Source organism: Homo sapiens, chromosome 4 (genome assembly GCF_000001405.40).
Source record: "Homo sapiens chromosome 4, GRCh38.p14 Primary Assembly".
Taxonomy (NCBI): Eukaryota; Metazoa; Chordata; class Mammalia; order Primates; family Hominidae; genus Homo; species Homo sapiens.
The window spans coordinates 186,604,359-186,615,544 of NC_000004.12; the positions used below are offsets into that span (position 1 = coordinate 186,604,359).

The 11,186-nt window shown below is 40.8% G+C and overlaps 1 protein-coding gene across 4 annotated transcripts in view; it reads right to left on the bottom strand.

Annotated features, from left to right (window-relative positions):
- The window catches only part of FAT1 (FAT atypical cadherin 1), a 138,903-nt gene that overhangs the window by 16,565 nt on the left and 111,152 nt on the right, over nucleotides 1-11,186 (bottom strand). For all 4 annotated transcript variants that reach the window (NM_001440455.1, NM_001440456.1, NM_005245.4 and 1 more), the window contains exons 12-18: nucleotides 9,833-9,986; nucleotides 8,751-8,984; nucleotides 7,028-7,417; nucleotides 5,443-5,657; nucleotides 4,825-4,962; nucleotides 1,712-1,855; nucleotides 19-216 (exon numbers count right to left, since the gene is read on the bottom strand). In NM_001440455.1, coding sequence (NP_001427384.1) covers nucleotides 19-216; nucleotides 1,712-1,855; nucleotides 4,825-4,962; nucleotides 5,443-5,657; nucleotides 7,028-7,417; nucleotides 8,751-8,984; nucleotides 9,833-9,986 — 1,473 coding nt within the window. The remainder of the gene's footprint in view (nucleotides 1-18; nucleotides 217-1,711; nucleotides 1,856-4,824; nucleotides 4,963-5,442; nucleotides 5,658-7,027; nucleotides 7,418-8,750; nucleotides 8,985-9,832; nucleotides 9,987-11,186) is intronic.

The following is an 11,186-nucleotide window of genomic DNA, read 5'->3' on the forward strand; positions in this document are numbered from 1 at the left end:
AAAGAAAGCCATTCATACCTTCACCTGCAGTAAGTAATGATCTTTCTCCTTCCTCTTGATGGCAGATGATGTCAGGAGGACTCCTTGCGGGTTAACTTCAAAAGCCTTCTCATCATTTCCAGTTACAATAGTAAAGAAGAAGGGTGGACCGTTATGGGAAGAATCCTCATCTGTTACTACCAGCTGCAGCACGCTGAAGCCCACTGGCTTATTTTCCTGCACAAGATTAGAAACAAAATTAAACAAAAATCCTGGAACACAGCCAAATCTATATGGGACAGACACATGAGTTTTCTATAATATAAAATACATACAAAACAAAGCCTTTCTGCTCTATCTGAAAGGAAGAGAAGAAAGGTGGAGACGGGAGTGTGGTGGTGAGGAGGAGGGAAAGGAGAAGGGGTGTAGCGAAAAGGGAAGAAAAAGGAGGATGAAGGAAACATGGTAAGAAAGGGAGTGTGAGGAGGAAGAGGGAGGAGGGGAAGCAGACACGAGGAGGAGTGGGGGACAGGAGGAAGAGCAGAGAGGAGGAGGAGTGTAGGAGAAGAAGAGGACTGGAGGAGAAAAGGAAGAGACGAGGCCAGGCGCGGTGGCTCACGCCTGTCATCCCAGCACTTTGGGAGGCTGAGGCGGGCGGATCACCTGAGGTCAGGAGTTCGAGACCAGCCTGGCCAACGTGGTGAAACCCCGTCTCTACTAAAAATACAAAAATTAGCCGGGCGTGGTGGTGGGTGCCTGTAATCTCAGCACTTGGGGCTGAGGCAGGAGAACTGTTTGAAGCCAGGAGGTGGAGGGTGCAGTGAGCTGAGATCGTGCCATTGCACTCTAGCCTGGGCAATGAGTGTAACTCCATCTCAGAAAAAAAAAAAAAAAAAAAGAGGAAGAGAGGAAGGAAGAGGAGGAGTGGGGAGGAGAAAGAGAAGAGGTTGACAAGAGGAGGAAAAGTGAGAAGGGGGAGGAGGAGGGGTAGTGAGGAGGAGGGGTGATGAGGAGGAGTGGCGACGAGGTGGAGGGAGGAGGAGAAAGAGTGGAGACAGTGAAATGGGGAGGAAGTGGAGTAGGGAGGAGGTTGGGGGAGGAGGTGGAGTGGGGAAGAGGCAGAGTGGGGAGGAGGAAGAGGAGGAGTGGAGAAGAGGTGGAGGGAAGAGGAGGAGTGGGGAGGGGAGTGGGGAGGAGGAAGAGAAGGAGGAGGAATGGAGAAGAGGTGGAGGGAGGGGGGAGGAATGGGAGGGAGGAGTGGGGAGGAGGGAAGAGTGGGGAGGAGGAAGAGAAGGAGGAGGAATGGAATGGAGAAGAGGTGGAGGGAGGAGGAGTAGGGAGGAAGAAGAGTGGGGTGAAGAAAGTGGAGTAGAAGATGGAGCGAGAAGGAAGGATTGGGGGCTAGAAGAAGAGCAAGAGGGAAGAGGAAGGTCAAGGGGGGAGGAGAGGGCAGAGGAAAAGCACCAGTGGCAGCAGGTCTGATTAAGCAATAAGCTCTTAGGAATCCTAGAACAGTGAGAATATCTCAAAAATCAAAGCACGGAAAGGAAAGAGATAAAAGCTTGGCTTTATCTTTAAAATGCTCATCTTTTAATACTGATAGCGACTTCTTGAATTCTACGTTTCCCATTTTTCTAGAAAGAAACCTTTGGATAAGAAAGAAAAGCAACAGAGGCCAATGGAAAAGCTCATTTCAAAGAACCCCAGGACCACCTTGGCACTCGAAGCCCACCTGGATAATGACACTGTAGTTTCCCCTGGAGAAGACGGGCGCGTTGTCATTGACATCGGACACATCGATGTTCACGGTCGTCGTGTTGACTCTGGGTGGACTGCCATTATCAGAAGCTTGAACCGTGAGCGTGTAACCTGAAATCTTTTCAGGCAAAAGACAGAATGCACGTTCATTTTCACAAGGCCGACAGAGCTCCAATGAGGAGTGTCCTCCTGAGAGTCCTGACGGGCAGGTCCCAGTGAGCTACCACTATCTGTTGCATCCTGCCTGTGAGCGATGCCCTAATCTCCTACAAACGAGTGCATGCAAGTAATACACATTTCCCAACAGCAAGAATTACCAATAATGATTAGATTCTCTGATGCCTCTTAAATATGTACTTGTTTTGTAAAAGTCTTTTATCTTGCAGTTCTATTAACAGAAACTAAGACATAAAAGTAATACAAATGATTAGGACAAGAAGTTAACATATCTCAAATGCTGTTGCTTCGGTAAGATGGGAGCAGCCTTCCTTAGGGCCCCAAGTTTGCTCTCAGTGGAAGTAGACAGACATGAGCTGCCTCCCGCACCTTAGCGCTGACTCATTTCCAATGCCTCAGGACACTCCAGATCACCCTCCCCCTCAATTTCACACTCGGATTATACTCAGCTGTCTAAATCCCTCAGGATTAGCTTGTCAGGACCTCCCACAAAAGAAAGAAAGTCAAGTGAGATAGCTTCTTTTTCAGGGCAGTTCCCTATAAAGCTCTGTCTTCTAGAATGAGTTGTGGGAGAAGCCAGAAAGCTGGCTAGATCCCAGAGTATGTTCTACAGAACGTTAGTCCTGCAAGACGCTCCAATGAAAAAGAATTCTGCTGGCGCATTAGCTTGGGAAATACCACAGGCTAGCTCCTTTGGTATCTCACAATGGACAGAAGTGTATTAAAGGATCTGGGTTCTTTAGTCAAAGATACTAAATTTATTCTGCCCCACAGTGGGGGCAATCCTAAGCATGCTTCCCAAATCCTTAGAAAGTCCCTTCTCAACATTCACACATCAAAGGAGAAATTAAAGAATTTAATGAGGTATCTCATCACTATCTCCCCCCAAATTCCTTTAATCTTAGATACACCCATTATTCTTCTGAAATTTCATTCTTAATCATCACCAGTGTCCTTCTCATTCCCAAATCGAAGGCTTCTTTTGGTTCTCCTTCACAGGCCTACCTCTCTGAGGTAGTTCCTGCTCAGCTTCCCTTCCTGGACATAAGTCTGCACAGATGAGTGAATGGATGGATGAATGGATGGATGCATAGATGGGTGGATGGGTAACTGGATAGATAGGTGGATGGATAAATGGGTGAATGAATAACTGTATAGATGGGTGAATGAATGGGTAAGTGGATACATGGGTGGGTGGGTGGGTGAGCAAATGGGTAACCACATAGATGGGTAGATGGATAACTAGATGGACAGGTGGGTAGGTGGATGGATGGATAACTGGATAGATGGGTGGTGGGTGGATGGACACATGACTGGATAGATGGATGGGTGGGGTGGATGGATGGGTAAGTGAATAGATATGTAGATGGGTGAGTGAATAGATAACTAGATAGATGGGTGGGTGGACAGGTCGGTGGGTGGATGGATGGGTAGGTGAATGGGTGGGTAGGTGAGTGGGGAGATGCATGGGTGGATGGATAACTGGATGGATGAATGGATGGATGACTGGATAAATGGGTGGATGGATACTGGATAAGTGGGTGGGTGGATGTTCAGCCTTGCTGCCTCTCCTTATTTGTTCATATTTATCTCAATCCCTCATGTCACTTCTATCAACATCTCCAACGGCAAGTACCATATCTACACTTAGGGTTTTCCAGTCTCTAAATCTGACTAAAATCTCCAAATACTGGCTGAGTAATTCTGCCTGAATATGCTATTTCCCTTTAAAAACCAGCATATTGAAAACCACATTCATTAGCCTCTCCCATCCCTTACACGTTTATACCTCATAACTTTTCTTTAATGGTACTACCCAGTCAAAGCAAGACCAAAAAATCAGGCTGCCTCTGACACCAATGCTTTCTACACGGAGCCATATCTAAGCTTTGTGGATTCTAATTTTTCCTTTGCAAATAGTTTCTTCATTTGGTATTCATAGACACCAAAATCCACTGGTGCTCAAGTCCTTGATATAAAATGGTGTAGTATTTGCATATAACCTATACACATCCTCCCAAACACTTTAAGTCATCTCTAGATTATAGTACCTAATACAGTATCAATGCAATGTAAATGGTTGTTATACTGCGGGTCGGGGTTGTATTTTTTTTGTTGTTGTATTGTTATTTTTTATTGTTTTTCTTTCTTTTTCTGGAGGCAGGGTCTCACTATGTTGCCCAGGCTGGTCTTCAACTCCTGGGCTCAGTGAATTCTCCCACCTATGCCTCCCATGTAGCTGAGACTATCGGAGGAGGCCACCACACCCGACATTTTTTCTTTTCTAATACTTTTCGATCCATGTTGAGTTGACTTCACGAATGCAGAATCTGCAGATAGAGGGGAGCAACTGACCTTCCTCAGCTCACAAATGCTCATACCCTAGTGCCTGAGGCATCAGGTCCAAACCTCTGGTCCTGGTTTTCTATGTGGCCAATAACCTGTGTGTAAAATACCTTCCTATTTTATCTCACTCTGCTTTCTTCTTATGATTACTCCAATACAACTGGGTAAAGTCCCCTAAATATATTTCTTGGCTTCTATCTGCATGCCTGTGTCCATGCAATTCCTCGCTGGAAATTCCCTTCTCTCAACCTCTATGATTTTCCAAACCTCTGCTATTATTTAAAACCCAGCTTCTAGCTTTAGGAAGTGTCTCAGAACACTGGAACCAACAGTAATTCCTTCCTGAATGCAAAGCTTTATTATCCAAACTTTATCCTAGCATGGAACACATTTCTCACATTGAGATCTTCATAGTGTCATTGCTTTTCGAGTGTTTACATGTTGCCGTCAGTTCTTGAGGCGGTCAGTCCTGCTCACACCACGCCCAGCAGACAAGAGCACAAGGCATTTCTAGTTATTGATGTGGTGATTTGTAAACAACGTAAATCAACCTTTTTCACTTACCGTTTCTCGGTCGAGAAGTTTGGTCACTTTGACTTCTCCCCTGACGGGGTCAATTGTGAACGAGCTTCCTTGGTTGCCATCTATAATTGAGTAGTGGATGTGGCTGTTGGAAGGTCCATCGGCATCATCGGCCATAACCTAGAACACACCACACTCCTGTTTAGGAGACAGCTAAGAAGAGGCCTAAACCTATTACACAAAATTTGTGATATTAATAGCTTAGCTGTTTCTTTTTGTTGTTGTTTTTTTTTTGAGATGGAGCCTTGCTCTGTCACTCAGGCTGGAGTGCAGTGGCACAATCTCGGCTCACTGCAAGCTCCGCCTCCTGGGTTCACACCATTCACCTGTCTCAGCCTCCCGAGTAGCTGGGACTACAGGCGCCCGCCACCACGCCTGGCTAATTTTTTTTTGTATTTTTAGTAGAGACAGGGTTAGCTTAGCTGTTTTAACACAATTATTCATAACAAAGTCAGCAATCAGTTGGCCTAACAAAAGACACTTTCAAATCTCCAAAATATTTACAAAGGCCGCTACAAAAACTAGATTGATTTTACTAAAAACTTTTGCAAAGATCCAGAAGATACACAGTTTTCACTGTAATGGGGAAAAAATACACACCGTGATGACAGACTGCTCAAGAACGGCATCTTCACTGATGACTGTCGTGTAGGTGTCTTGGCTGAACACAGGGGTATTATCGTTGATATCTGTTACATTAACGTTCACAGTGGCAACGTCGCTCAGTGAAGGCGTGCCTCCATCAGTGGCCTCTACTGTTAGGTAATACTCATGAGAGCTCTCATAATCCAGATTCTCAATGATAAATACGGCCCCTGAATAGAAATCAAAATTACTTCCAGCATTCTGCAATGCCACCACATTTTCCCACTATGACTGAAATAGATGAATGCTTTTGAGTACATTTAGTTTTCACTTCAAAAGTTTACTTACCATTTACGTATGTTTCCTATTTTCTTAATTCAACAATTAAAAACTATGAATCTGCCCATCCCTGGATCTTTATTTCTCTTAATTTTCATGATATTCTTCATGATATTTAAATTGCTTTTCCAGTCAACACCACCTACATCCCTGCTTATTATAAACATGATGATTGTATCATCCCTTCCATACCATAGCTCACTCGACTTCACTCTAATTTAATCAACAAAATAAAAACGTAAAAATTCTATTGTGTCTTTCGGTTTCATTTTTTGTCTCATCTTTTTAAAATATTTTCCTTCTCATATTTTTAAAATGGAGATTTATATCCTTTTAACTTCTAGATAACCCTTTATTTACATCCTCTCATTTTTAAAAATCCCTTTTTAAACAATTCCTTTTAACATCTTTCACATCATTCTAGTCCTAAAGAGCCCTAAAAATAATTTTATTATAAATATAAATTATATAAATATAAATTTATATAAATTATATAAATATAAATTATATAATTTATATAATTTATATAAATATAAATTATATAATTTATATAAATATAAATTATATAATTTATATAAATATAAATTTATATAATTTATATAAATATAAATTTATATAATTTATATAAATATAAATTTGAATGGAGCAACTTTCTACACTGTTTTAAGACTTAGGACTATTTTAGGCCACAGGTTAGCAAGATGATGAAGCATTCACGCAGCAGGAGTCAGCAGTTCCTATGCCTTTTGAGCTTGTTGGCGGTCTTTCCCTAACTGTGATTCAAAGTACTCCAACTGTTATAGACAACTAGCATGATAACGAAGTCAACTTAATATATTATCAGAAGCCCACTACAGAAACTAAAATAAAAAAGACTGGAATTACTATTTCACTTGGGAAGTTACCATCCATGAGTCTGATTACATAAGGACCTCTACTATCCCCTATTCTTATCTTTACTAACTTGCTATACCTTACATCTCAACTAAACTAATAGAACATGCTGCTTTGATTTTCTATTTTAAGTTAATTTGCTTGTATTTTATAATGAACATGCCCAAAATGTATTAAGTAGAACTATAATCTGAAGCCTTCCAAACAACATTCAATCCCACTGTAAATAACTAAAAGAAAACTTGATTTGCCTTTTTTAGAACATCTACTGACAACACAGGGTCACTTAATACAAGGCAACGTGGTTAAGCAAATCTAGTTTTCTTGGTGGAATGAAGGGTTTCCTCTCAGATACATGGTAGGTTACCTGTTTTAGAATCTATGCTGAATTTCCCATGTTCATTTCCACTTATTATTGAGTAGGTGATTTCTGCATTTGCTTCAATATCCCGACTTGCTGCATACACTTGAAGAACTTCAGTTCCAACAAGAATGTCCTCAGACACGGTGGCACCATATTCACGGTACTCAAACACAGGGGGGTTGTCATTTATGTCAAGAACTGATACAATCACAGTGCCAGTGGCAGTCAGCCTCCTTGGCAAGCCTTGATCCACAGCTTTCAAAGAGAGGGTGTATACTGCCTGGAGTTCTCTGTCCAAAGGTTTTTCTAACTGAATAATTCCAGATAATTCGTTAATGGAGAACTGCCCATCAGCAGAGTCAATCAGTGAGTATAAAATCTTCCGATTTAATCCTATGAAGACATAAAAACATGTCAAAAGATTTTAAATAAAAAAGTTTAACACTTTTTTTTTTTTTTGAGATGGAGTCTCCCTCTGTCGCCCAGGCTGGAGTGCAGTGGCGTGATCTTGGCTCACTGCAACCTCTGTCCCCCAGGTTCAAGCAATTCTCCTGCCTCAGCCTCCCGAGTGGCTGGGGTTACAGACACACTGTAATTTTTGTATTTTTATTAGAGACGGGGTTTCTCCATGTTGGCCAGGCTGGTCTTGAACTCCTGACCTCGTGATCCACCCGCCTCGGCCTCCCAAAGTGCCAGGATCCCAGGCGTGAGCCACCGCACCCGGCCAACGCTTTTTTTTTTTTTTTTAAAAACCAAACAAAATTTTTTTAGAAGGGTAAACGCTAATATACATTATTCGCAAATTTGTATGACTATGACCTTTAAAAGGTAAACAACTTACTCTGTTAAAACAAATGTAAATATAATTTCATGGGAATCTGGCTTCTTAGACTATTTCGTATAGGAGCCAATAATACAGTACCTAACAAACCTTTACAAATCACATCTGTTTATCATTGAGCTTTGGTGACAAAGATCTGAAAAGCAACACTTTTGCTATTCTTCTGAAACTTCTCAGAATCACAGCATGAGTATCCCTAAACTGAAAATCTGAAATTTGAAATGCTCCAAAATCTATTAACTTTATGAGTGCAGAACCGATGCTTTAAAAAAAAATGCTCATTGGAGCATTTCGGATTTCAGATTTTTGGAGTTGGGATACTCAACTGATAAGTACATAATGCAAATATTCCAAAATCTGAAAAATATCCAAAAATCCAAAAATACTTCTAGTTCCAACTATAATAAATAAGGAATACTCAACCTGTGGTATGACTGAAGAAGTTATTCTCTGCTATCAAATGCTACAAATATACATTCTATAGTCCAATTTTCTCTAAAAAAATTTTGAAAGGTTTGTAAACCTATCATAAAGCATTTGCTTCCATTATGTTGCAATGAGGCTAAAAGCTCTCTCTGTCCTCAATGGTTTATTGACAAAATAACACATCACTGATTAATTCAATGGGATGTGAAGATCAGTTAATATTCAGTAACCAGAATTTTAGAGACCTCACAGCAGTAGGTTCACTGGGCACAACTTTGGAACTTTAAATATTCATTAAAAATTAATTAATTATTCTAAAGATTTCCTTCCACAAGGAAGGGCTATGGAACATGCATGAGGTGGAGTGAGTGGCACAGGCTGAATCTGGGGTGTGTTTTGAAACAGAGGCTCCTAGGATCTCAGTGAGCAGCGTCAGGCAAGAGCATTCCCGGGAGATACCTGCGTCGGCATCTGTGGCCTGCACTCTTGTCAGCAGCGTTCCCGGCTCTGTGTTTTCAAACACGGTGATGGCATAAGGATCGGCAGAGAATTCGGGGGCGTTATCGTTCACATCTTCTAGCGTGAGCACAATACTGGCTTGGCAGAATCTTCCTCCTCCATCTGTGGCCCTGACGAGAAGATGATAAACAGCTTGCTCCTCACGATCAAGGGGGGTTGACGTTTTCAGTTCACCTACAAACAAAAACAAATGGACTCACTTGTAATTTAAGACGTGACTTGCAGTTGTACATCTTATTTCCTCCCCTTTTGTCTTTCAATTACTTAGTCTGAGTATTCACAGCCTTCCTCTTGAGACCAGTATTATCAATGACAGATTCAACAGCTGCAAGAGGCAGTGAGCTCCAGGTCTCCAACCCTGCCAGGGGCTAGCTCTTTAAGTCCTGCAGGTCTGAGGCCAGGGCCTCTCACCTTGTGTATAAGATTGCACAGGTGAAACAGCTACCAAATTTACCAAAATTTAAAAAATGTTTAAATTGACTCAAAAATTAGATTCACATGTTCACAATTAGTTCTTTAGGAAGAAAATAAAAAGGCTTAACAGGAAACTTAGTTGATCCCAATTTTACCAAAATACAAAAGGAAAACAACTCTATTTTAAAATAAATAAAATCCCATAAATCATTTTGTTTATGAAAATTCTAAATTATGCTAAGTTATAAATTTATGGTCACCAATTCAAGAAAATATGCTATTTAAATAAAATGGATAAAAAGCAGAAAGCTTGAGTTATATTTTAATTTCTGAGGGTTGTTTTTTTTAAACAAGTGGTATAAACGCCTTCTAAATTTTAAATCCTTTTTTCAATTAGGTGATATTCTTGCTGTTTTTTAAAAAATCTCACCTTGAATTTTACGCACTAAATTGCTGGTAAGATTTCTAAGAGATGTCAACTTCGGAGCATCAGAATACATTTGAAAAGGGCAAAATGTAATTTCAAATTTTGTGTGTGATCTAAAATCACCCACATATATGATACTGTTGGAATATACAATTTATTTTGTCCCAAACTCCATCATTACCTGTGTCTGGATTTAGTTTGAATTTTTCTGCACCTGAACCCAATAACGTGTAAGTAATTTCAGCGTTAGAGCGGATGTCTGCGTCTGTAGCAGAGATCTGCATGATCAATTTTCCAGGAAGGACGTCTTCAGGAATAGTGTCTGAATATAAAGTCTGCAAAGAGTTTAAACAAAAACGTTACATAAAAGCATTAACAGGCAGCACAAACATCAAGGGAATAATGGAAAAGAAATCATTCATCTTTGACCACAGAAAACATGGGAAATGACTAAAGATAAAATCCCAAGAGCTTTGAAAACGATTTTTCTCATAAAACATAAAACACATGTGAAACAAGGAGGAGCCGTGGAGCAGCCACCAGCTCCACATCCCTGAAAGAGCCTGGCCTGACATTTAACCTACAAAATGCTATTATATGTTATTAAGCTGATTTCATATTCAAATCCTTATGAGAAAACGTAAGTACTAATCAAAAATGTAAGTAGTGCTCCGTATTTACCTAAAAACTGCAGAGAATAAATATCTGTCGTATCATATCTGCTCATTTCCAAATACAGGAATTTATTTTTTGCAAATGTTCCTAACATAAATAACTGCAGTTGAGAGAGAAGCAAGTTTCATGTTATGGGAGAAAACGAAGATTCTCGAAGGCCACAGAAGGGACTCTGATGAAGGCTGAGGCCCTTCTACTGCCCTGCGTGATCCTGGTGCCCTCTCTCCTCACATCTGCCCTCATGCTCAAACACGGTGAACACTTGTTTCCAGTTCCAATTATTTAGAAATCCATGCCATAAATTAAAACCTAAGACAAAAAGATTAAGATTCTGTTGATTTTCTTAATCTGAACTCAACTACCAGTGAAGTACTCACGGAAAAGTACTCCATGAAAAAGGACTCAGGAAAAAGGGTATTTCATAATAGGATGAATTTAAAGGATCTAGTGTCCCAGTCTTATTCCTGAAGATGATAGAGTATTGTACTGAAATAATATCAAAGGGCTAAAAAACAACCAAAGACAGTTGCTGTAAGAGAGAGAGAATGTCGCACCCCTTCTGAAAATATAAAGTACAAATAAGAACTGGAATTAACTCCTCATCCCTCAGAAGTTCCCCTTCCCCTCATGACTGAATATAAGGGTTCTTCCATCTTAAGTCTTTCCCTGAGAACAGCCCTATCACTTTCCACAGCCACAAGCATCTCAGACTCACAGAACCTGTGGTGGGTTCCAACTCCTCCATCCTCTTCACAATCACATTCCTCTCTACCCAGCCTTCTCCTGGCCCAGCACATTCCTCCTCCCTGTCACTCTCAGCCTTCTTCCCTGGGCAGGTCTATTTCTTCATCACTTCACTC